At 42.8% G+C, this 27,001-nt stretch overlaps 1 protein-coding gene across 16 annotated transcripts in view; it reads right to left on the minus strand.

Annotated features, from left to right (window-relative positions):
* Positions 1-27,001, minus strand: part of DNAH3 (dynein axonemal heavy chain 3) — a 226,349-nt gene that overhangs the window by 136,952 nt on the left and 62,396 nt on the right. For 15 of the 16 annotated variants that reach the window (XM_017023432.2, NM_017539.2, XM_047434349.1 and 12 more), the window contains 4 exons: positions 16,787-16,998; positions 11,574-11,665; positions 5,385-5,499; positions 648-764 (listed from right to left, as the gene is read on the minus strand). In XM_017023432.2, the coding sequence (XP_016878921.1) occupies positions 648-764; positions 5,385-5,499; positions 11,574-11,665; positions 16,787-16,998 (536 nt within the window). Of the gene's footprint in view, positions 1-647; positions 765-5,384; positions 5,500-11,573; positions 11,666-16,786; positions 16,999-17,359; positions 17,386-27,001 lie in introns of those variants that run through there. The other variant, XM_011545889.2, reaches the window with a different exon arrangement.

Below are 27,001 nucleotides of genomic sequence, written 5' to 3' on the forward strand. Positions count from 1 at the left end.
AGCCTATGTCACTGCTACAAACAATGAGCACAGGAGGCCAAACCCCTATCTTCGGGTAGCTTACATTCTAGATTACTACCATAAGATGCTTCCCAAATGCATGTGTATTTGGTGCATTCAAATGCCATCTTCTCTTTTGGCAGACAGTTGCAAAGGCTCAGCATGCCATATGCTTTCTTGGATGGTTATTGCTTTCAGCCTTGTGTCATTAATTAATTAATTAATTTACTTATTTTTGAGACGGAGTTTCACTCTTGTCGCCCAGGCTGGAGTGCAATGGCGCGATCTCGGCTCACTGCAACCTCTGCCTCCTGGGTTCAAGTGATTCTCCTGTCTCAGCCTCCCAAGAAGCTGGGATTACAGGCACCCTCCACTATGCCTGGCTAATTTTTGTATTTTCAGTAGAGACGGAGTTTCACCATGTTGGCCAGGCTGGTCTTGAACTCCTGACCTCAGGTGATCTGCCCGCCTCGGCCTCCCAAAGTACTGGGGTTACAGGTGTGAGCCACTGTATCATTTATTTATTTATTTTTCCAATTAGGACAAAGTGACTTTCTTTGTTAACTGAACGTGAAAACCTTTCCCCTCCTCTGAGAAACCCAGAGCTAACGAAACACCTCAAAGCATTCAACTTCATTTCCTCTTACCCGGCATTCTGCTTCTATTGGTTTGATGAATGGGGAGCCACACATGGTCTGGGTCTTTATCACGTGATCATCAAGTAGCATTTGAATGTCATCAATTGCACACAAGATGTTTGTATCCTGTAAATAAAGATGCCCCACCCTGTCAAGATTGTGAAACCTCCCCATTTTTCTTTTCCTTTTTTAAAAATTTATTTATTTGAGACAGGGTCTCCTCACCCAGGCCTGAGTGCAATGGCTCAATCCTAGCTCACTGCAGCCTCAAACTCCTGGGCTTAAGGGATCCTCCTGCCTCAGCCTCCCAAGTAGGTAGGACTACAGGCATATGCCACCATGCCTGGATTTTTTTTTTTAAGACAGAGTTTCACTCCTGTTGCCCAGGCTGGAGGGCACCAGCAGAATCTCGGCTCACTGCAACGTCCACCTCCCAGGTTCAAGTGATTCTCCTGCCTCAGCCTCCTGAATAGCTGGGATTACAGGCAAATGACACCACGCCCTGCTAATTCTGTATTTTTAGTAGAGACAGGGTTTCACTACATTGGCCAGGCTGCTCTCAAACTCCTGACCTCAGGTGATCCACCCGCCTCGGCCTCCCAAAGTGCTGGGATTACAGGCATGAGCCACCACACCCAGCCTGGATATTTTTTTTAAGAGATGGGGTCTCACTGTGTTGCCCAGGCTGGTCTCGAACTCCTGGCCTCAAGTGATCCTCTTGCCTCAGCCTCCCAAAGTGTTGGGATTACAGGCTTGAGCCACTGCATCCAGCTACCTCCCCATTTTTCATGCTGATCCCTTAGGACCTCCCAGCTCAGAACTCCACTCTCATGGAGTAGGAATCTATGTCTTGCAGGGAATAGGACTTCTACTTTCTTCCTTGAAAATGTTATTAAAGATATTTAGGCTGGACAAGGTGGCTCATGCCCATAATCCCAGCACTTTGGGAGGCTGAGGTAGGAGGATCGCTTGAGTCCCAGAATTCAAGACCAGCCTAGGCAACATAGCAAGACCCCATCTCTAAAAATTTTTTTTTTAAAAAGACATTTATTGTCCACCTCCTTTGCAGAAGTCAAATACAGTCTAATCCAAGACTCATAGACATAATCTGCTGGGGAGGAAGATTTCTTCCCCTTTCCCTATATTCCTGCTTCTTCACTTGCTTTCCTGGCTCTCCTTTCCCTTGGGTAGGAAGATCGGCTGCTAATCTGACTGGTTAGGCCTAGACCTGCGGTTTCCACACTGTGAACTGATGTGCCCCGGGGCACCGCAGCCAACTCAGAGTGAATGATTCTGGTTATTTAAAAATAAAATACAGCTATTAGTTTTTCTTTCATTGTAGGTGTATTTTTTTCAAACAGTGCCTAAGTTGTTAGAGCATAAATCCTTATTAAGTTGTTTGGACCTAATTACTGCATAAACAAAGCTATTAGGTATTTCTTTTGGCCTAAGGGCACTGTGAAAAAAGTACTTAGACACAAAGCCATTGTGAACCAAGAAAGTTTGGGGACCTTTGTTTAATTAATTAATTAATTAATTAATTTTAATTTTATTATTATTATACTTTAAGTTTTAGGGTGCATGTGCACAACGTGCAGGTTGGTTACATATGTATACATGTGCCATGTATTTATTTATTTATTTTTGAGACAGTCTTGCTCTGTTGCCCAGGCTGGAGTGCAGTGGCATGATCTCAGCTCACTGCAACCTCTGCCTTCCAGATTCAATTCATTCTCCTGCCTCAGCCTCCTGCGTAGCTGGGATTTCAGGCAAGCACCACCACACCGGGCTAATTTTTGTACTTTTAGCAGAGATGGGGTTTCACCATGTTGGCAAGGTTAGTCTCAAACTCCTGACCTCAAGTGATCTGCCTGCCTCAGCCTCCCAAAATGCTGGGATTACAAGCATGACAGGCACGAGCCACCATGCCTGGCTTGTTTTATACATTTATTGGGTCTTTTTTGAGACAGGGTCTCACTCTGTCACCCAGGCTGGAGTGTAATATTGCAATCATAGCTTACTGCAGCCTCAAATTCCTGGGCTCAAGCAATCTCCCTGCCTCAGCTTCCCAAATAGCTTTCCAAGTAGCTGGTGCACATCACCATACTCAGCTAATTATTATTATTATTATTATTATTATTACTATTATTATTATTATTATTTTGTAGAGAGGGGGTGTTGCTGTGTTACCCAGGCTGTTCTCGAACTCCTGAGCTCAAGTGATCCTCTCACCTGGACCTCTCAAAGTGCTGGGATTATAGGTGTGAGGCACCAAGCCTGACCAAGTGGTCCTGTTTTACAAGTAGGTAAGGTCTAAGGTGTGCCTTAAAGGCCAGGCCCTGTGGGTGGCACTTTTTCTCCTGGGCCATTGTGGCAAGCAAGCTGACAAGGGTCTGACCCTGGGGCAGGTTTGGTCTTTCTCGCTCTGTTCTCACTTCTTTCAAGTCTAATCTAGGAGGCTAAATTTGGGCCTAGCATGTATTCTCTTATCTATGTTTTACCAGTAGCTCAGCATTGGGAGGTATGTTGGGCTATTAATAAAGTGGTTTCTTGATCCCCATTTAGCTACTGATCCTTGTCTGTAGTTACTTTAGGCAAAAACTCTGCAGATTGGCCAGGTATAAGTGAGCTGTTCCCCAGGTCTCCTAGCTTATACTCCTCTTGTCACCCCAACAGCCTCTATAGCAGTGTCTAATCCAAGCTGATCATGCAGCCACGCTTCTGAGACCCATGGTGGCTGGGTCACCCTTGCTGGGAGAGGCTCAGTAATGAGGCCCTGTGCCCTCAGCTCTCTTCCCTCTCATCAGATCATGTATAGTTCTGTTGGGTCTCAGAACATGATACCCCGAAGCATTGCACCTTGATTTGCTGAGTATTTTGAACTGAAGGACATTGGAAGGCCTTGGAAGCAAGATCTTTCTGTCCATCTTTTTCTGCCTTTCTCCTGCTCCTTTATCTTTCCCCTAAGACAGTCCATAGAAACTAAACTCCTCTTGCCCGAAGCAAGCATAAAATCCTGAAATATCACTCTGACCAAGACAGCCGGCCATAAGGAAATTCTCTGAGCAACCTTGTCTGATAGTGGGTCACAAGACTGTCGTTCCTGAGGGGGTCTTGCCCTATGCCTGGGAGGAAGGACTGCTACACAGAGAGACCAAGAAGAATCTCAACAGCAGGTCTTGCTAGGCTTCCCATGGAGTCTAGACCATTATACCATACGCTTTTGTTCAATTTCATTTCCATACAGCTGTCCATTCTTCATCAAACCTAAGCCCCAAAACACAGTTTTCCCTGGGTCTTCACTTTCGATGGTTCCAAAGTCATGTAAAACTTTGATTAAATAAAATTTTAATGCTTTTCTCTTGTTAATCTGTCTTTTATTATAGGAGTATTGGCGGTGAATGACCTTCATGCTAGGTGAAGAAAGGGATCACACCTTTTCACCCCTACAGCTCTTCCTTGAGTGAAATCAAGACACTCCAACCATTTAAACTGAATAGGGAAAGAAGTCACAAGTAGATAACATGCAGCCTGGGGAAGGAGGGAGGCTTGGGAGCTTTTGGTTCTCAATCTACATTGCACATGAGAAAAACCAGGGGTGCCTGAAAAATACAGATGCCCAGGCATTCTGGGAGGGGAGGAGCCAGGAAGAATCCATTGGGAGATTTTAAAGCATTCCAGATGATTCTACAATGCAGGTTTGGAAGCACTGCTTTAGGAATCAATGGTTGGGCCTGGCGTGGTGGCTCACACCTGTAATCCCAGCAATTTGGGAGGCGGAGGTGGGCAGATCACTTGAGGTCAGGAGTTCAAGACCAGCCTGGCCAACATGATGAAACCCCATCTCTACTGAAAATATAAAAATTAGCTGGGCATGGTGGCGGGCACCTGTAATCCCAGCTACTCGGGAGGCTGAGGTATGAGAATCGCTTGAGCCTGGGAGGCAGAGGTTGCAGTGATCCGAGATCACGCAGTTGCACTCCAGCCTGGGTGACAGAGCAAGGCTCCATCTCAAAAAAAGAAAGAAAAAAAGAACCAATGGTCTGCAGGATGTGTGTATCAACCTGTTGCCTCCATGATTTACAGCTCCCCAAGAGCTGCAACCCTCATCCCTACCTCACACCCTATCCCAAAAGCAAGCCAGACCCTAACGACAGCTGAGCAAATGCTTTGGGTGTGTAGCACCTTCGCATGCACTGTACAAACTCCTGTGTTTTCTACAAGTGCAAGTGAAAAGAAAGAAACCTACACCCTTACTATTCAAAATTGATCAATATTATCTGGGAGCTTGTTAGATCTGCAGAATCCTAGATTCCATCCCAGACCTGCTGAATCAGAACCCGCATTTCAACAAGATCTCCGATGATTCCTGCATGCATTGACATCTGAGAAACACTAGTCATTGTCTGCCCCTGTGCTTCTGACGGGACTGGGAAGCTTTGGAATGGTGTACAAGCCTGCACCTTCACTGGGAGGTGCTGATTTAGAGGCTTGCTTGGTTCCTTTGCACTGAGAAAGCCTCTTGCTCTGAATCAAAAGACTTGTCTGATTTGAAGAATGAATCTCTTCGGTGGTGCTGACAGGAAAGGTGACTGACACAGAAAGGCAGACAGTAGGAAACAATCAAGACATGAGCGATTATTTCTCTGTGAGTTCTGTTGCCATTCTGAATGAATCGTTTCTGTAATCTATTGCATAATAAATGGGGCTGCTTTCAAAAGGGGCTGCGGTTGCAGTGAGACTCACAGTGTCCCTGTATTTCACGAAGCTGAACGTCACGTTAACCCAATCCAACTTCATTCTATCCAAGTTTTTCTCCAGAGAGTATTCCTTGCTGGCAGCTGCACCAATGGGCTCCAATCTAAAGAGAGAACACAGCAACAGCAACATCAACAGGAGGCAGAGAAGACACATCAAAGGAGGAACTTCAGGCCAGGCATGGTGGCTCATGCCTGTAATCCCAGCACTTTGGGAGGCCGAGGAGGGAAGATTGCTTGAGGTCGGGAGTTCGAGACCAGCCTGGGCAATATAGCAAAACCCCATCTCCACTAAAAACACAAAAATTAGCCAGGTGTGGTGTATGCCTGTAGTTCTAGCTACTCAGGAGACTGAGGTGGGAGGATCGCCTGAGCCTGGGAGGTAGAGGCTGCAGTGAGCTGAGATCGTGATTTCACCACTGCACTCCACTCTGGAAAACAGAGTAAACCCTGTCTCAAAAAAAAAAAAAAAAAAAAAAAAAAGGGAGGAATTTCAGCTCAGTCTTAGGAGAATCTCCAAAAGCCCTTAATTTGACCAAAAGGTTTACTATCCTGCTCTAAGATCTGCCAGCTACCGCCAGTGTTTTGCAGGGTTTCTCACCCTTGGCACCGTTGACTTTTTGGGCTGTGTTATGGGTTAAATATTGTCTCCTCAAAAATTCATATATTGAAATTCTAACCCCTAATATCTTGGAATGTAACTCTATTTGGAGAAAGGATCTTTAAAGAGGTAATTAAATTAAAATAAGTCATGAGGGTGGGCCTTAATCCATTATAATTGGTGACCTTATAAGAAGAGATTAGGACACAGACACACAGAGGGAAGACCATGTCAATTCATAGGGGAAGACAGCCATCTGCAAGCCAAGGAGAGAGGCCTCAGAAGCAACCAACCCTGCCTACAACTTGGCCTTGGACTTTAAGCCTCCAGAATTATGAGACAATAAATTTCTGTTGTGTAAGCCACTCAGTCTGTGGTATGCTGTAAGAGCAGCCTGTTCAACAAAAATTATGAGAGGTCATTATTCCGGACTGAGCTCCTGCACTAGACCCCAGCAGACCAGACCAAACCAAAATGGAGTCACTCACGCTAAATGGCATGTAATCAAACTGAATCTTTAAGGAAGGAGATAGATCCCAGAACAGGACAGTTTTTCCTGAAAACAGGAGATTCCAGTCTACCTGACTCAGAGAATAAGGAAGTTCCCTCTGCTTGAACCCTCATAAAAAAATAACCTGACATTAATTAATCCTTTTTTTTCATATTGTTCTGTTTCCTTATAAAACTTACCATTGTGCTACTGCCCAGTGGGAACTCTCATTCTATTTTGGAAAACAGAGGCTGCCCTGATTCACGAATCTTGATTAAAAGCCAATTAGACTATAACTCAATTTGTTGCTTTGTCTTTTGATGAGACCTAGCAAACTCACATAGGCTGAAATAATTGTCATGGGGAGCTGTACCGTACCTTCTAGGGTGTTGAGCAGCATCCCTGGTCTCTACCCACTAGACACCAGCAGCAGACTCCCCAGCCCTGCCCCATCTTTTGCCAGTCATGACAACCAAAAATGTCTCCAGATATTTCCAAGTGTCCCTTAAGGGTGGGAAATGGCCCCCAGTTGAGAACCACTGTTGTAAGGTCACTAAAATAAGACCTCTTCTTTCCATCTTTGTTTATGCCTTATTTGCCCATATTCTGATTTCTTTTATTTTTTTTTCCCCCAGATGGAGTCTCACTGCGATGCCCAGGGTGGAGTGCAGTGGCATGATCTTGGCTCACTGCAACCTCTGCCTCCCGGATTCAAGCGATTCTCCTGCCTCAGCCTCGCAAGCAGCTGGGATTACAGGTGCCCTCCACCACACCTGGCTAATTTTTGTATTTTTAGTAGAGACGGGGTTTCACCATATTGGCCACGCTGGTCTTGAACTCCTGACCACAAGTGATCCGCCCGCCTCGGCCTCCCAAAGTGCTGGAATTACAGGCGTGAGCCACCATGCCCGGCCAGTATTCTGATTTCTTATTCAGATTTTGAACCTCTGTTAATTTATGTGATGGCTCTTGCTCTACTTCCCATCCCTTCCCTTTTCAAAAACACCTACTATTTTCCTGATACTGGGTCCACCCGTCCATGGCCCCTCTATTCCACAGAAAGGGGCATAGAGGGAGAGAGAGAAGAGGCAAACAAATTCCTTTCTTCTTGTTTCCACATGGAGATCTGGGTCCTAAAACCGAGGTGTGGCAAAGAATTGGAAAGCCAAGTTCTTGGAAGTGGAAAGAGGGACTGTTCTCTCTGCCTCAGCCCTGTCTTTCATTGCATCCTTGAGTGTAGAAGAGACCATCTGATATTTACTCATAGGTCAGGAAACCAACGCTCAGAGGAAGCAAGTGACATGTCCAAAATCACAGAGCCAGGGAGTCCTGGAACTGGGTATTGACACCAATTCCTCCTAATCTGACTCCTACCCTGGTGTTTCTTCTTCCACCCTTATGATATGCCTTCTCCCTTCTCTTACTTAGAAAGAGCAATAGAACTAGGCCAGGCACGGTGGCTCACTCCTGTAATCCCAGCACTTTGGGAGGCCAAGGCAGGTGAATCACCTGAGGTCAGGAGTTCGAGACCAGCCTGACCAACATGGTGAAACCCCGTCTCTACTAAAAATACAAAATTAGCCAGGCATGGTGGCGCACGCCTGTAATCCCAGCTACTCAGGAGGCTGAGGCAGGAAAATCGCTTGAACCCGGGAGGTGAAGGTTGCATTGAGCCAAGATCATGTCATTGCACTCCAGTCTGGGCAACAAGAGTAAAATTCCGTCTCAAAAAAAAAAAAAAAAAAAAGAGTAACAACTAATAGAACTGTTCATATGTGTTCAATCAAATAGGACCAATTAAATAGAGCGGAGAACCCTCATTTAGCCTCTAGAAGGGAGGAAGATTAGGAGCAGAAAATTACAAACAAGGACTGATCAGGACCTCAGCAGCGTGGTCACTGACTTAAATATGGCCTGTGAGAGGTGACCAAAATGAGTGTGCATATAGGGAATAATTAATAAAGGCAGGTGCCAGCCCAGATTAGTATGAGACAAAGAGTCACAAGGCCCAGCCTCCAGTACTCACTGGCTGTGTGGCTGTGGCCAAGTCACTTGACAGGCCTCAGGTCCCCATATGCCCCTATCACAGGCTTTGGGGTTCAATTAAATAAGACCAAATGCTGGCACCAGGCCTCATGAATTACCCTAGGGTATGACTTAGAATGCAAATGATTGAACAGATGAGGGACTAATCAGTCTGGGAATTCATGAAATATATCAGGAGTTGACCTCACCCAAAATGTGCTGGAGAAGCTCATTAACTATGGGCTGTGATGAAGCTGCATTAACTATGGTGTGGGTGGAATACATGCAATATCACACCTCCCTAAATGGTGGTGGCTGAGTCCCCAGACATGGAATCAGTTCAGGTGACATGCCTTTTCTCCTAATCCTAACTCTAATCACCTAGCTACTCTCCCATGTTACAAATGGAACCAAGGCGCACAGAAGGAAACAACTTAGCCAAGATGCTTCCACTTCTGAATTGGTCACAGTTGAACATGTGTGCATGGAAAGTATAAGAATAGCTGTATGTTTATTTGCTCATTCACTGTCTCTGGAGAGGGGTTTACTTTTTCAGCAGTGAAGGGTCATGGTTAAGGCCTGCCTGGTAATGGAAGCCTGCTTATGTTCAAATCTTGATTCTTTCCTAAGTGAAATGTTCATTCTTTCGGTTACTAGTGTGATCAATGGCTAATAATCTGAAGTTTATTTCCTCATCTGTAAAATGAGAATAATATTAGGACGGTAGGACCTAGGACACTAGGTTTTTGTGATGGATAAATGTGTTAAGGTCGGGCATGGTGGCTCACGCCTGTAATCCCAGTACTTTGGGAGGCCAAGGCAGATGGATCACCTGAGGTCAGGAGTTCGAGACCAGCCTGACCAACATGATGAAACCCCATCTCTACAAAAATACAAAAATTAGCCAGGCATGATGGCAGGTGCCTGTAATCCCAGCCACTCGGGAGGCTGAGGCAGAAGAATCACTTGAACCCAGGAGGCGGAGGTTGCAGTGAGCTGAGATTGCACCGCTGAGATTGCACCATTGCACTCCAGCCTGGGACACAGAGTGAGACTCTGTCTCAAAAAATAAAAAATAAATAAATAAATAAAAAGGGTTCAGGTATATAAAATGCTGAGTGCAGCATAAGTGTTCAATAGCTAGTGTCTCTTGGAAACATCTTACTGGGGGAAAGTGAGGCCCTTTGGCCAAAAAACCTAAGGGTTTTTATCCTAAACCTGATAAAAAACATTTGCGTCTCTAGGCCTGCTCGTTAATGAGGAACATAGTGGTGGTATTGGAGAGGCATCACAGTATTCAGGTGGCAGAAAGATTCAGGAGCTGGGAAGTGCCTTAAATTAGACCTGCTCTGGTGCAGTATGAGTGGGGAATTCTCAGCCTTTCATGTATCAGAATCGCCTGGAGCAGTGCTGTCCATTAGAAATATAGAGTGAGCCACATATGTAATTTTAAAGTTTCTCGCCTGTAATCCCAGCACTTTGGGAGGCCGAGGTGGGCAGATCACCTGAGGTCAGGAGTTCAAGGCCAGCCTGGCCAATGTGGTGAAACCCCGTCTCTACCAAAAATACAAAAATTAGCCAGGCATGGTGGCGGGCACCTGTAACCCCAGCTACTCGGGAAGCTGAGGCAGGAGAATCACTTGAACCTGGGAGGAGGAGGTTGCAGTGAGCCGAGATTGTGCCATTGCACTCTGGCCTGGGTGACAAAGTGAGACTCCGTCTCCAAAATAAAATAAGATAAAATAAAATAAAGTTTCTAGTAGCCACATTTTAAAAATATTAAAAGACACAGGTGAAATTAGTTCCAATAATGTATTTGACTCAATATATCCAAAATATTATCATTTCAATACTAATCAGTATTAAAAATTGTTAGGTATTTTGCATTCTTTTTTCTTGTAGTATGTCTTCGAAATCCAGCCTGTATTTTATACTTACAGCACATCTAATTCAGACTAGCTGCACTGTAGGGGCTCAATGGCCACATGTGGCCAGTGGATGCTGCTTTGGACAGTGCTGACCTGAAGGATTTGTTAAAATGCAGACTGCAGGGCCCATCTGCAGAATTTGATTATGTGGGTTGGGTGGGGCCTGAAAACGTGCATTCTAGCTAGTTCCTAGCTGACGCTGATGCAGCAGATCTGGGTGCCACACTCACCTAACAGGGTCTCCAGTCCAGGCAATGCAACATCTCCCCACCCATCGCCCTGAAGGAAGTGTGAAAAAGCAAGTAGGGTCCTGAGAAGCTCTGTTCTAGAGGTAGCATCCAAATGGTAAAATTCTCACACACAAACTCCAGGGGAATTTGGAGAAGGGAAGAAAGCAAGAGAAAAGACTTCTTTTTTTTTCTTTTTTTTAAATTAAGATGGAGTCTCACACTGTCACCCAGGCTGTAGTGCAATGGCGCTATCTTGGCTCACTGCAACCTCCACCTCCTGGGTTCGAGCGATCCTCTGGCCTTAGCTTCCTGAGTAGCTGGGACTACAGGCATGTGCCACCATGCCTGGCTAGCTTTTGTATTTTTAGTAGAAACGGGGGTTTCACTATGTTGGCCAGGCTGGTCTTGAACTCCTGACCTCAAGTGGTCCGCCTGCCTCGGCCCCCCAGAGTGCTGAAATTACAGGCATGAGCCACTGTGCCCAGGCGAGAAGAGACTTCTTATTGGACCAGGTTTCACACAATCTTAAAGCTCAGAGACGGTTGTTGCTTTGTTTGTTTAAAGAAGAGGAAACCGAGGCACAGAAAGGCTGAATGGTTTTGCCCCCAATCACTGAGAGCTGGGCTTGAAGCTCAGGTTCAAAGAACATTAAAAAAAAAAAAAACCCTTTGAAATAAAATCCATGACTCAATTTTCTAGTCACAACCCATCAGCAGCTCTGCAGCTAAAAAACAGAAGCTTCACCAATACGAGTTGGTAGCTGCAGGTAATTAAATAGCCTTAAGCCACCCTACGCCACAAGGAAAAAAAAACAAACAGCCCGATATGGAGCCAATCAGATCACTGTGGGAACTTACAGATCCTTTGACCAAAACCTTATCTGAAGGAGGGGATAAGCCCTTACTTTTCAACGAATTTGCCGAATCCAAATTCGAGCATATTTGAGAGGCAGGTCGTTTCGGTGGGCTTTATCTCATAGCCAACAATCTCACTGATCTGCAAAGAAAAGAGGAAAGCAAATGTTTGTTGTCCGAGGCAGTGCTGTCCAGTAGAACCTTCTGTGATGATGGAGATGTTCTTTTTATCTGCACTGCTCAGCATAACAGCCACGAGTGGCAGGTGGCTGTTGAGCACCAGAGATGTGGCTAGTGTGACTGAGGAATTTATTTTTAAATTAAATTAAAAAAATTTTTTGAGACAGTCTCACTCTGTCTCCCAGGCAACACAGTGCCATCATAGCTCACTGCTGCTTTGACCTCCCAGGCCCAAGCAATCCTCCCACATCAGCCTCCCCAGTAGCTGGGGCCACAGGCACACACCACCTTGCCTGGCTAATTTTTAAATTTATTGTAGAGATAGGGTCTTGCTGTGTTGCTCAAAGTGGTCTCAAACTCCTGGCCTCAAGCGATCCTCCCACCATAGCCTCCCAAAGTAGTCACATTACAGGAGTGAGCCGCCACACCCAGCTAATTTTAATTAGACAGGGTCCTGCTTTGTTGCCCAGGCTGAAGTGCAGTGGTGTGATCATGACTCACTGCAGCCTTGACCTCCCAGGCTCAAGTGGTCCTCCTCCCTCGACCTCCTGAGCAGCTGGGACCACTGGCATACAACACCATGCCTGGCTAACCTTTTTCTTTTTAAAAATTTTTTTGTAGAGATGGGGTCTCGCTATGTTTTCCACGCTGGTCTTGAACTCCTATACTCAAGCAATCCTCGCACCTTGATCTCCCAAAAATGCTGGGATTACAGGTGTGAGCCATCATGCCCAGTCCCTTTTACTTTGTAAAATGTGGCTACTAGAAACTTTAAAATTATTGGCTGGGTGCAGTGGCTTACTCCTGTAATCCCAGCACTTTGGGAGGCTGAGGCGGGCGGATCACTTGAGGTCAGGTGTTCAAGACCAGCCTGTCAAACAGGTGAAACCCTGTCTCTACTAAAAATACAAAAATTAGCTGGGCACGGTGGCAGGTGCCTGCAATCCCAGCTACTTGGGAGGCTGAGGCAAAAGAACAGCTTGAACCGGGAGGTGGAGGCAGGAATCAGCCGAGATCGCACCACTGCACTCCAGCCTGGGCAACAGAGTGAGACTCCATCTCAAAAAAAAAAAAAAATTAACACAAATGGCTCACGTTATATTTGTACTAGTCACAGAGGGCCAGTTTTGGCATCTATCAGTGCAGTTTCTCCCTAAGATCAAATGTTACCTTGTTCCATCTTGCTTTTTTTTTAACAGTTAAATTTTTATTATTTTTTAAATTTTTATTATTTTTTAAATTTTTCTTTTTCCATACTTTTTTTTTTTTGAGAGAGAGTCTCGCTCTGTCACCCAGGCTGGAGTGCCATGGCGCAATCTCGGCTCACTGCAACCTCTGTCTCCTGGGTCCAATGATTTTCCTGCCTCAGCCTCCCAAGTAGTTGGGATTACAGGCGCATGGCACCACGCCCGGCTAATTTTTGTATTTTTAGTAGAAATGGGGTTTCGCCATGTTGGCCAGACTGCTCTCGAACTCCTGACCTCAGGTGATTTGTCTGCCTCGGCCTCCCAAAGTGTTGGGATTACAGGCGTGAGCCACTGCACCTGGCCAGACCAGGAGATTTTTTTATAATGACTCAGAAAGCACAAAAGCAAGGAACCCAGAAGTAGTTACCGTTGAAATAACGGTCTTGGAAGACCAAGAGTGTTATAGGCACATGATGAAAAAATAACCAAAATAACACTAATTGCAAATAGGACATCAGAAATGCACCTTAGTGTAGTGATCCAAAAAGCCTTTTAGATTTGTGGCTTCCATTTCGTTTGAAACCACAGTAGCAACCCCTTTGCTGTTATCTATAAAGTCTGTGCCCCAAACGTAAGGCTCTAACTTTTTCTACCTACGTTCTGTAAATGACCAGAACCCCCAGCACAGCCATGGCCTTGCTTCAGAAGATCCAGCTTCTAGACTTGAGTGCTACAGATGGCTCATCCTTCAGATCCCCCTGCCAGAGCTAGCATCTGTGGCAGTGGATCTCCTAAGTTAGGCATCAGGGCAGAGAATGACATCCCCAGGCCTGGGGCTGTCCCCAGGGCGGCCTGTGGTGTGACCTACATACACTGCAGGGAGGAATGGGCTCTGCCTAGGGGCAGTCCGGAGAGTATCTAGGGGCCTTTGTCCTTTCTGAACTTGCCTCTTAACTGCTCAGCCCACTGGGCTTCCATTTAGGGGCTCACTCCTTGGGAGCCACTGTCCTAGGGCTGTGCTCCCCGGCCCTCTCTCACTGTGGTTTACTGCCCCCTACTGCCCGCTCCCTTCCTCTGACCGGACCTTTTTTGCCTTTTTGACTTTTCCAGGCTGAGTCAAACAGTGTAGAAAAATTCCAATCCCCTTTCCCACCACCAACTAGCCATCTGACAATTCATCTCTCCAAGTCTCAGTTTTCCAATCCGTGAAATGGAGATAATAATAATCTCCACTTCAAAGGCCTGTTTTAAGGGTGAAATGTGAGAATCCAAATAAAGTATACAACACAGTACCCAGCACCATAGCTGGTACTCAGTACATTTTCAATATCATCATTATTATTATGGTTAGAATTTTTTTACTTTATTTATTTATTTATTTATTTATTGAGACAGGGTCTTTCTCTGTTGCCCAGGCTAGACTGCAGTGGCGCAATCACAGCTCACTGCAGCCTCAACCTCCCAGGCTCAAGTGATGCTCCCACCTTAGCTTCCCTAGCAGCTGGGACTACAGGCATGTGCCACCACGCCCGGCTAATTTTTTTGTATTTCTTGATGGGGTTTTGCAGTGTTGGCCCGGGCTGGTTCTCAGACTCCTGGGCTCAAGCGATCCACTTGCCTCGGCCTCTCAAAGTCCTGGGATTATAGGCGTGAGCCACGGCACCTGACTGGGATTTTTTAAATTTAAATTAATTAATTTTTTAAATAGATGGGTCACACTATGTTGCCCAGGTTGGCCTCAAGCTCCTGGCCTCAAGTGATCCTCCTGTCTCGGCCTCCTAAAGTGCTGAGATTAGTGGTGTGAGCTACCTCGCTTGGCCTGGTTGGGATTTTCTGAGTGCCCACATACAAGAATAGCATCATAGAGGAAGCACCAGGTGGAGCAGATGGCTTTCCCGGCCCCGCGGCATGTTCTCCAAATGCCATCGACAAGGACACTCTTGATAGTGCCATCTCATAGAGAAACCTGGCACTACCAGAGGCCACCTGTCCCACCTAAGCTCCCTAACCCCCCCATCCCCCCGATGCAGGTCAAAGTCCTAGTTAGGCTGGGTCCGTAGAGAGAGGCACCCCGTGAGCACCAGCTGACAGCAACTCCTCCTCTGCGGATCCCTCTGCTGGGGCGTTTCAAAACCAGAAGTCATGGCCAGGCACTGTGGCTCACGCCTGTAATCCCAGCACTTTAGGAGGCCAAGGCAGGAGGATCACTTGAGGCCAGGAATTTGAGACCAGCCTGGGCAACATAGTAAGACCCCCCCCATCTCTATTTTAAAAATCAATTAATTAAAATTACAATTAAAAAATATCCCAGCCAGGCACGGTGGCTCATGCCTATAATCCCAGAACTTTGGGAGGTTGAGGCGGGTGGATCACTTGAGGTCAGGAGTTCAAGACCAGCCTGGCCAACATGGTGAAACCCCATCTCTACTAAAAATACAAAAATTAGCAGGGCATGGTGGCACGTGCCTGCAATCCCAGCTACTCAGGAGACTGAGGCAGGAGAACTGCTTGAATGTAGTGAGCCGAGATCATGTCACTGCACTCCAGCCTGGGTGACACAGTGAGATTCCACCTCAAAAAAAAAAAAAAAAAAAAAGAAAAACAGAGGTCTACTCAGACAGCCTATCTCTTGTCTATACATCACCCCATCCTTTGGTTAGGTCTCCAGTTCAAGACTTTTTGGGAAACTGAAAGTAGCTTCTCCCTACAAAAAGACCCTGACTCTCTCATGTATTAAGAGAGTCTTCCTCTCTCTTCCTAGGGAGAACAAAGTGCTCCTTGTCACTGTGTTGTCATTGGGTCCTTTCAGAGAGAATTTCCTCAGTCTTATACGTGGCTTTTTTGTCCCCCCGTTACCCAGGCTGGAGTGCAGTGACACGATCATGGCTCAATGCAGCCTTGACATCCTTGGCCCAAGCAATCCTCCCACCTCAGCCTCCCAAGTTACTGGACCACAAATGTGCACCACTACACCTAGCTAATATTAATTAATTAATTAGGGAGAGATGGGGGTCTCACTATGTTGCCCAGGCTGGGCTCAAACTATCCTCCTGCCTCAGCTTCTCAAAGTGTTAGGATTATGGTCTTGAGCCACCGTGCCTGGTCTTGAATGTGGTTCTGAGAGGGGGAATTACAGGCCAAGTCAGAGAAGAATCTTCCCAAAGAAAGCCATTTTCACTTCTAATTCCATACAGAGCGACTCCTGGTAAAGGATGTTTCAAGGCCATTGCTAGCCCTTGGAAGTGACAATTATTTTAGAAACACAGTGAGTTTTCTTTTTTCTGCTTAGTGTTCACACCACACTTATCACCCTCACACTTGGTTCCTTATAAAAATCCCAGCTATTTTTAAGGAGAATATTTATTTTTCTAATTTGTAGGCCCAAAGGGCTGAAAGAGGAGTGCAAAGTTATTTCTGAACCTGTTTGACAATAAAATGCCACACCAAAGTCATCCTAAGTGGGAATCATCTGGTATTATTAGCAACCCCCAGGGAGAGATGTGACTTTCTTTTTTGTGTATCCTAGGTCAAGGAGCAAATCAAGGTCCTCTCACTGTATTGAACATCCCTGTTGCACCTTGGAGGCTCTTGGCCTCCAAAAGCCCATCTGCTTAGGAAGCAGGAAGGAGACCCTTTGTGGTCATTGGCTCGAACAACACTCAACGAACCACGACCAATGGGGGTTCCAAGGAAAGGGCCAACCTGTCCAGGGGGCAGGGAGTTCATTCTCTTCCTTCAGAAGTCTTGCCACTCTCATTTGCTATCCCTTTGCCCTTAAATAGAGTCTCCTTTCGGAAAGGAGAAGCTTGACCTAGTAATGTTTCCTGCCTTCCCAAGGACAGTCAGGGCCAGGCCTGGGCTGCGCTGCTTGGGGGCGGGCAGTGATTGATAGAAACCTGCTGCCAGTGTCGGTCTTTCATTCCTGGGTTGCAGGAAATACTGAGGATGGGAATGTACTGCTTGAACTTATCGATCTTGATCTTCACATTCTCTGCTAAGCGCCTGGGTGCAGGCACATCAGACAAGGTCTTGATCAGTTTATACGTTGTCCTCCACATATTCCCTATCTCCTCCGCAATTTGCTCAGCATTCAGTAAGAAGAGGGGTCCTGAAATAGAAGAGTGAGGGAAAGGTCAGACCATCATGTGGATGTTAGTCATGCGTACCTTTAATTCCCTGAACTTAGAGCTGTGCCTCCTGTCGTTTGGAGATTGGAACACATACAGGCTTTGAGGATCTGAAACCTGCACTTAGCCAGTGGAACCTTAGATATGATACAGGACTTTTCTAAGCCTCAACAGTAACTCCTGTGACACAGGGGTAATAATGGATACCCTGGAAGGTGATTGTGGAAATTCAGTGAGATAATATACAGTGGCTAACATAATGCCTGGCATATAATGGATGTACAATTAGCATATCAATAGCTTTTTGTTTTGTTTTGTTTTTGACCAGTTGCAATGGCTTACACTTGTAATCCCAGCATTTGGGGAGGCCAAGGTGGGAGGACTGCTTGAGCCTAGCAGTTTGAGACCAGCCTGGGCAACATAGTGAGACCCCATCTCTACAAAAAATGAGAAGAAAAAGAAAAAAGAAAAAAATTGTTATTATTGGTTTTAGAATCTGCTATAGTAGTAATTAAAAGTGCTTCACAAAAGCCATGAAATATTAACCATCGGGGAAAGGTGAATGGAGATATGAGAGGGAGGCTGAGGCAGGCAGATTGTTTGAGGTCAGGAATTCAAGACCAGCTTGTGCAACATGGTTAAACCTCATTTCCACTGAAAATGCAAAAAATTAGCCAGGCATGGTGGCATGCTCTGTAGTCCCAGCTATTTGGGAGGCTGGGGTGGGAGGATCACTTGAGCCTAGGAGGTGGAGGTTGCAGTGAGCCAGGATAGTGCCACTGCCCTCCAGCCTGGACAACAGAGTGAGACTCTGTCAAAAAATATATGTATTTTAAAAGCAAAAAGTAACACCTCATTGTTTAAACTTACTCCAAAACACTAATTTCCTTCCCCTTCCTTTATTTTGCTAAGAACCTTTAGCATTTGGGTTTCACATCCAGCCAAGACCTTTCCATGCTGCTGCCCCTGCTTGGATATTTCAAATTGGTATTAACTCTTGCTATGTGATGTTGCTAACTTACTCAAAAACACTTCTTCAGGAGTGCTGAAACTAAATCTAACTTCATTAATTTCACATGCTTCATCAACCCAACATTTTTGTTGCGTGATTAAAAATTTAAATTAAAAAAAAGTATCCTTCATGCACCAGGAAATATTGTAGGTGCTGGGCTAGAATAGAAAGGCACCTACGCAACAAGTGAGTAGCCTGTACTTGGGAGGGTTTGGCTGAATTATCACGGTGACTTTCCCAGTAGGATGAATAAAGTAGGTAAGGCTAACACTTCATTGTTCCCACTCTATAGTTGTAAGAGTGAAGCACAAACAGAGTGACTTGCCTGGGTTATTTGCAATCACTCAGGCAAAGAGGAGTAGTAGTAGCATTTCTATTAGAAGCAATTTCCCTCTGGTTATGATTATCTAGAGACAGCCTGAACTGACAAATTTATATCTACAACAAGAGAGAAGAACATAAAATAATCCAGGGATTTTAGACACTGCTATTTGAAGAGCAGTTATGGATCCCTTTATCCACATGACGTGGTAGCTTCTCACCTCATAGCTTATGGAAAGGCTATATTCTGAAATTCTAACTCTGATCTTAAAGGATGAGACAGCAGGTGGAAATTTTTGTAGCCCTGTGGATACAGTCAACTCAGTCAAGATTCAAATATGGAGGTTGCAGGAAATATTAATAAATTCTAGGGTCCTGTCCAGTCCAGAAATTCCAGAGTTCTAAGAAACATTGCTGAAGTCATTCTTCAAGGTTAATGATCTTCAGCCCCATGAATGTAAACAAATAACTTCTAGGCAAAGAAGCAATGTGAGGCCATGCAATTAACCACGTCTGCCTATTCTAACTCCCCACTAAATGATCAAAGGCAGATAATAAAGGGAAAAACATGTGTCTCTACTGGAAATTAAAGAAGGTGCCATCAAAATGTGAGCTATAGGGAGAAATTTCTGTAGGATATTCACAGTAGTTTTCCAAGTTTAGCAGGCATCAGAACTGCCAGGAGGGCTTGTTAAAACACAGATTTCTGGGCCCCATTCCCAGAGTTTCTGAGTCAGGTCTGGAGCGAGGGCTCAAGATTTTGCATTTTTAACACATTCTCAGTTAATGAGAATGCTGCTTTGTCCTGGAACCATACCTTGAAAGCCACTGCAGGGGAAAAGTGGAAGCGACACTCACTAGGAATCCCATTGCAGAACTTGCTGCTTATCCATGGAGAGGGATATGTCTAGCACAGTAACAGCCCTGCCAAAGCTGACTTTTAACAAAGGCAGCTTGATCCCTTGATAAAATATTCCACTCAATAACAGCAGAGTACACATTCTTTTTTATTGCAAATAGAACACTTACCAAGGTGAATCTTATTCTGAGTCATAAAACAAACCTCAATAAATTGAAAAGAAGTAAAATCATGCAAAGTGTCTTTTATGGCCATAATGGAATTAAATTAGAAATAACAATAAAAACATAACAAGAAAATCTCCGGTGACTAGAAAATTAAACAACACACTTATAAATAATCCATAGGTCCTAGAGGAGTCTCAAAGGAAATTAGAAAGCACTTTAAATTGAACAAAATTTGTGAGGGACAACTATAAAGGATAAATTTGTAGCATTAAAAAAGGAGAAATTTCTAAAATAAATCATCCAAGTTTCTACCTTAAGTAACTAGAAAAAGAAGAGCAAGATAAATCAAAGCTAGCAGAAGGAAGGAAATGATAAAAATAAGAACAGAAATCCATTGAAAACAAAAATAATAAGAAAGATTATTGAAACAAAAAGCTGTTTCCTTGGAAAACTAAAATTGATAGGCCTAAAAAAAAGATAAACTTCTAGCAAGACAGGCAAAGAAAAAAGAAAGAAGATGCAAATTACCAATATCAAAAATAAAAGATGGGATATCACTACCAACCTCTCAGACATTAACAGGGTAATAAGGGAATGCTATAAACAACTCAATGTACATAAATTAGACCATTTTTTTTTAAAATGAAGCCATTCTTCAAAAACTACAAACTTCCAAAAACTTATTCAAGATAAACTAGAAAACCTGAATAGTTTTATAACTATTGAAGAAATTGAATTTATAGATAAAAAATTTCCAAAATATAAAAACTTCAGAATCAGATGGTTTCACTGGAAAATTCTGCCAAACATTAGAAGAAGAAAAAAATAACAGCAAAACCTGTATAATCTCATCTAAAAAATAGAAGAAAACATTTCCTAACTTATTTTAACAGGTCAGTGATACGCTGATACAAAAACCACACAGATACATTACAAAAAAAAAAAAAACCCTACAGACCAGTATCTCTCACAGACACTAAAATTCTCAACAAAATATTAGGCATGGAAACTGAATCCAGCAACACATGAAAATAATAATACACCATGTCCAAGTAGGGTTTATCATTGGAGTGCAAGGCTGGTTTAATATTTGAAAATCAAACAATATAATATACAGTATTAACAGCCTCAAAATTTTCTGTAATTTGCAACAACATGGATGGAACTGGAGGACATTATGCTAAGTGAAATAAGCCAGGCACAGAAAGACAAATACTGTATGATCTCACTATTTGCAGAATCTAAAAATGTCAATTTCATAGAAACAGAGAGTAGAAAGGCAGTTACCAGAGGCTTGGATGAGGCAAAGGGATGGGGAAGGAAAGGAAAGATGTTGATGAAGGGTACAAAGTTTCAGTTATACTGGAGAAATAAATTTTAGTAATCTATTGTAGTGCATGGTGACTGCAGTTAATAATTATTGTATATTTCAGCTGGGTGAGGTGGCTCATGCCTGTAATCCTAGCACTTTGGGAATCAGAGGCGGGTGGATTGCTTGAGCTCAGGCGTTCAAGACCGGCCTGGGCAACATGGCAAAATCCTGTCTCTACCAAAAATACAAAAAATTAGCTGGGTGTGGTGGTGTGCATCTGTAGTCCCAGCTACTCAGGAGGTTGAGGTGGGAGGATCACTTGAACCTAGGAGGCAGAGATTGCAGTGAGCCGAGGTTACGTCACTGTGGTCCAACCTAGGTGGCAGAGCGAGACCCCATCTCAAATAATAATAATAATAATGTCTTGTATATTTAAAAGTTCTTAAAGAATAGATTATAAATGTTATCATCAGAAAAAAAATGATAAATTGGTGAGGGTGTGGATATGTTAATTAGCTTGATTTAATCTTTCTATGATGTATACATAGATCAGAATATCACATTGAACCCCATAAATATACATAACTACTTGTCAACTAAAAATAAATAAGTAAAAATTGGAAAAAAAAAAGAAATAGAAAGAAAATCCACCAGAATCAACAAAACAAACTCCTGGAACTAATAAGTGATTGCAGCAGGATCACAGGACACAATATTAACATTAAAAAGTCAATCACTTTCCAAGATAGCATCAATGAACAGTGGAATTTGAAATTAAAAGCATAGCCCAGGCACAGTGGCTCATGCCTGTAATCCCAGCACTTTGGGAGGCCAAGGCAGGTGGATCACGAGGTCAGGAGTTCGAGACCAGCCTGACCAACATGGTGAAACCCTGTCTCTACCAAAAATACAAAAATTAGCCGGGTGTGGTGGCATGTGCCTATAATCCCAACTACTCAGGAGGCTAAGGCAGGAGAATCACTTGAACCCAGGAGGTGGAGGTTGTAGTGAGCCAAGATCACACCATTACACTCCAGCCTGGGTGACAGAATAAGACTCTGTCTCAAAAAAGAAAAAAAAAAGAAATTAAAAGCATAATACTATTTACATTGGCACCCTAAAAATTAAATTTGTACTTGGGCAAAAATCTACCAAAATATTTGCAAGATCTGTATGAGGAAAACTACAAAAAACTCTGATGAAAGAAATCAAAGAAGATATAAATAATGGAGAGATATTCCATAATCATGGATAGGAAGACTCAATATTGTTAAGATGCCAGTTCTTCCCAACTTGATCTATAGATTCAACACAATCCCAGTAAAAATCCCAGCAAGTTATTTTGTGGATATTGACAAGCCGATTCTAAAATTTACACAGAGAAGTAAAAGATCCAGAATAGCCAACACAATATTGAAGGGGAAGAATAAAGTCAGAGGACTGATACTAGCCAGCTTCAAGAGTTACTATAAAACTATTGTAATCAAAAAAGCGTGGTATTGGCAAAAGAAAGTCACATAGATCAGTGGAACAGAATACATAACCCATCCAAAAATAGAACCACACAAATATAGTCAACTGGTCTTTGATAAAAGAGCAAAGGCAATATAATAGAGAAAAGATAGCCTTTTCAACAAATAAAGATGAAAAAATTGGACATCTATATACACACACAAAAAAAGAATCTAGACACGGATCTTACACCCTTCACAAAAATTAACTCAAAATGGATCATAGACTTAAATCTAAAATGGAAAACTATAAAATTCCTAGAAGATAACATAGGAGAAAATATGGATGACCTTGGATTTGAGAATGGCTTTTTAGTTACAACACAGAAGGCACAACACATGGGAAAAAAATGATAAACTAGGAATGAAAAGATTCTCCCCTGTAAAAGATGTTGTCAAGAGAATAAAAAAGGCACAGTCTGGAAGAAAATATTTGCAAAAAAAAAAAAAAAAAAAAAAAAAAGATCTGATAAATGACTATTATCTAAATATACAAAGAATTTTTAAAAATTCAACAATAGGAAAACAAAAACCTGAAACTTAAAAATAGGCAAAAGCTCTGAACAAATACCTAATCTAAGAAGATATACAAGAGGTGAATAAGCATATGAAAAGATGTTCAATATCATTGCCATTAAGGAACTACAAATTAAAAAACAATGAGTGGCTGGGTATGGTGGCTCATGCCTGTAATCCCAACACTTTGGGAGGCCAAGGTGGGAGGATTGCTTGAGCCCAGGAATCTGAGGCCACCTGGGGCAAATTAGTGAGACCCTCATCTCAATTTAAAAACAATAACAACAACAATAGCCAACAACAGATACCACTACACACCTATTAAAATGGTCAAAACTCAAAACACTGACAACACTAAATGCTGGCAAGGATGTGGAGCAACAGGAAATGTCATTTATATTGGTGGAAATACAAAACGGTACAGCAACTCTGAAAGACAGTTTGGCCGTTTCTTACAAAACTAAACATATTCTTATCATATAATCCAGCAATTGTGCTTCATAGTACTTACCTCAAAAAGTGAAATTCAAAAACATACATCATTTACAATAGCTCCAAAAAAGGAAATATTTATGTATAAATTTAACAAAACATGCATAGGAGCTGTATGCTGAAACCTGCAAAACACTGATAAAAAGAAGTAAAAGGAGAACTAAATAATTGAAGAGATGTAAAGTGTCCATTGATTGAAAGACTCAATGTAATAAAGATGTGAATTCTTTCCAAATTTATCTATAGATTTAAAACATTTCCAACAAAATCCCAGCAGAGTTTTTTGGTATGTATAGACAAACTGATTCTCAAATTTATGTGGAAAAATAAAGGGACTAAAATACTCAAAATAAAATTTTAAAAAGAAAAATGAAGTTAGAAGAATCACACTATGTGATTTTAAGACTTTCTATAAAAATACAGTTGTCAAGTTGATGTGGTATCAGTGAAAGGCTTGACATATAGATTGGCAGAACAGAATAGAGTCAAGACATCAACCCACGAAGATATGGACAACTGATTTTTGACAAAGATACAATTAAGTGGATAAAAATTTTTTTTTCCCAATTACTGGAACCATTGGACATTTATATGTAAGACAATGAACTTGAACTAAGCCTCGTATTTTAAAAAAATTAACTCAAAATGGACCATAGGTCTAAATGTAAAACATAAAACCACAAAAAATCTAGAAGAAAATATAGGAGAATATCTTCATGACCAGGGTTAGGCTAAGAGTCCTTAGAGATGATACCAAGAGCACAATCCATAAAAGAAAAATTGATACGTTGGACGTCATCAAAGTTAAAACCTTTTTCTCTGTGAAAGACACTATAAAGAGAATAAAAAAACAAGCCATGGACTTGGAGAAAATATTTGTAAATCACATAATCTCACAAAATTTATAAAGACCTCACAAAACTCAACAGTAAGAAATCAAACAACCAATTAAACAAATGGGTAAAAGACTTGAACAGACACTTCACCAAAGAGGATATACAAATGACAGGTATGCACATAAAGAAATGTTCAAGATCATTAGGCATTGGGGAAATGCAAATTAAAATCATAATGAGACATCACAACTACTTATGAGAATGGCTAAAATAAAAAAATACAGGCCAAGCACAGTGGCTCACACCTGTAATCCCAGCACTTTGGGAGGCCGAGGCAGGTGGATCACCTGAGGTCAGGAGTTTGAGATCAGCCTGGCCAACATGGTGAAACCCCGGCTCTACGAAAAATGCAAAAATTAGCCAGGTGTGGTGGCATGCTCCTGTAATCCCAGCTAAATGGGAGGCTGAGGTGGGAGAATTGCTTGAACCCAGGAGGCGGAGGCTGCAGTGAGCCGAGATCACACCACTGTACAAAGTATGACAAAGTGACACTCCATCTCAAATATATATATATATATGGACAATAATACCCAGTGGCTGGTTGATATGGTTTGGCTGTGTCCCCATTCAAATGTCATCTAGAATTATAGTTCCCATAATCCCCACATGTTGTGGGAGGGATCTGGTGGGAGGTAACTGAATCATGGGGTCGAGTTTTCCCATGCTGTTCTCATGATAGTGAATAAGTCTCATGAGAACTGATGGTTTTATAAAGCTCAGTTCCCCTGCACATGCTCTCTTGCCTGCCGCCATGTAAGAAGTGCCTTTGCTCCTCCTTCACCTTCCACCATGGTTGTGAGGCCTCCCCATCCAAGTGGAACTGTGAGTTCATTAAACTTCTTTTTCTTTACAAATTACCCAGTCTCAGGTATTTCTTCATAGCAGTATGAAAATGGACTAATACACTGATGAAGAGGTGGAACAACTGGAATTATCACACATTGGTGAGGGATGCACAACGGCACAGCCACTGTGGAAAACAAAAGTTTGGCATTTTCTTATAAACTTGCAAATATACTTTAAATATAATTCAGCAATCCACTGCTGGGCATTTACCCTAGAGAAATAAAAACTTACATTGACACAAAAACGTTGACATAAATATTTACAGCATCTCTATTTATAATAGTCTGAGAGTGAAAACAGTGGGTAAATGGTTAAGCTGGTGTATCCATAGAATGGGATACTACTCGCAATAAAAGGAAATGACCTATTGCTACATCCAACAACTCGGATGAATCTTAAAGGCAGTGTGCTGAGTGAAGGAAGCAGTCTTGAAAGATTGCATACTGTATCATTCCATTTGTAGGAGGAGCCTCAAAAGGACAAAACTATAGGAACAATGAAGAGATCAATAGTTGCCAGGGGTTACAACTGGGGGGAGGATTTGACCACAAGGAGACAGTCCAAAGAAATTTATTGAGTTGATGAAATTGCTGTTTTCTGATTGTAGTGATGTTTATATGAAAGTCAACAACTGTTAAAATTCATAGAAATGTATGCCAAAAATGTCCATTTTAATGTATATAAATTTAAAAATAAAATGTAAAATGTTTTTAAAATACAATACCTATTTCTAATAAAAACACTTGGTAATTTATAAATACTGTTTTTTTTGAGACAGGGTCTCGCTCTGTCTCCCAGGTTGGAGTGCAGTAGTGCCATCACAGCTGATTGCAGCCTCAACCTCCCAGGTTCAAGCGATGCTCCTGCCTCAGCCTCCTGAGTAGCTGGGACTATAGGTGCACACCACCATGCCCAGCTAACTTTTTCATTTTGTTTTTAGTAGAAATAAGGTCTTGCTAAGTTGCTCAGGCTGGTCTTAAACTCCTGAGCTCAAGTAATCCTTCTACCTTGGCCTCCCAAAGTGCTGGGATTACAGGTATGAGCCACCATGACTGGCTTTCTTGTGTTTATAAATACTGAAGCACTAGAAACTTGCTAAAGGCTCAAACCTAAGGGTCTCTGATTTTTTTTTTTTTTTTTGAGACAAGGTTTTGCTCTGATGCCCAAGTTGGGGTGTAGTAAGCAGATCATAGCTTACTGCAGCCTTGATCTCCTGGGCTCAAGCGTTCCTCCCATCTTAGCTTCTCGAGTAGCTGAGACTACACGTGCACCATCACACTTGGCTGATTTTTTATTTTTTGTAGAGACAGGGTTCTCACTATGTTACTGAGGCTGGTCTCGAACTCCTGGGCTCATGCAATCCCCCTGCATCAGCCTCTCAAAGTGCTGGGACTACAGGTGTGAGCCACTGCACCCAGACAAGGATCTCTGATTTTGTCCTCTGTTCTTCAACACCCTCCACAGGTGTTATCATTCATGGCTTTGATTGTAATCTACACATCAATTATTCCCCAACATAAATCCCACCCGCCAAATCTCTCTCCTAAAATCCACACTGATACACTCAATTGCTATTTAATATTCCCATTTGATTGTTTCCAGGTGCCTCAAACTCAATGTATTCAAGTTGATGGGTTTTTTTTTATTTGTTTGTTTTGTTTTGTTTTTTTCCCAACAAATCTGTCACTTCTCTTTTTCAGTGATGGTAATACCAACCAAATTGCCTGAGCCAGTCATCTGGAAGTTGGTTCTTTGCTGTTATTATCCTCACTCATCCCTGAAGTAAGAGAACTAAGTCTTGGAGAAGCTAAGTAACTTTTCCCAAAGGTCAGCTAGTAAGTTCTTTAAGCATTAAAATTCTTACCTCTGAGGCAATAAAATTCTTACCTTTGAGAGGATAGTAACCTCTTCCTCCCTGCCCCTTAACCCATATCGGATCAATCATTAAGTCCTGTTGATTCCAACTCCTCAATACCTTTCTGGACCCCAGATCCTAGAGTAAAAGGTAGTTTACAAATGTCTATGGCACCCTGGCACCCTGGTCTTTCCTGA

The sequence above is a fragment of the Homo sapiens genome, chromosome 16 (assembly GCF_000001405.40).
Source record: "Homo sapiens chromosome 16, GRCh38.p14 Primary Assembly".
NCBI lineage: Eukaryota > Metazoa > Chordata > Mammalia > Primates > Hominidae > Homo > Homo sapiens.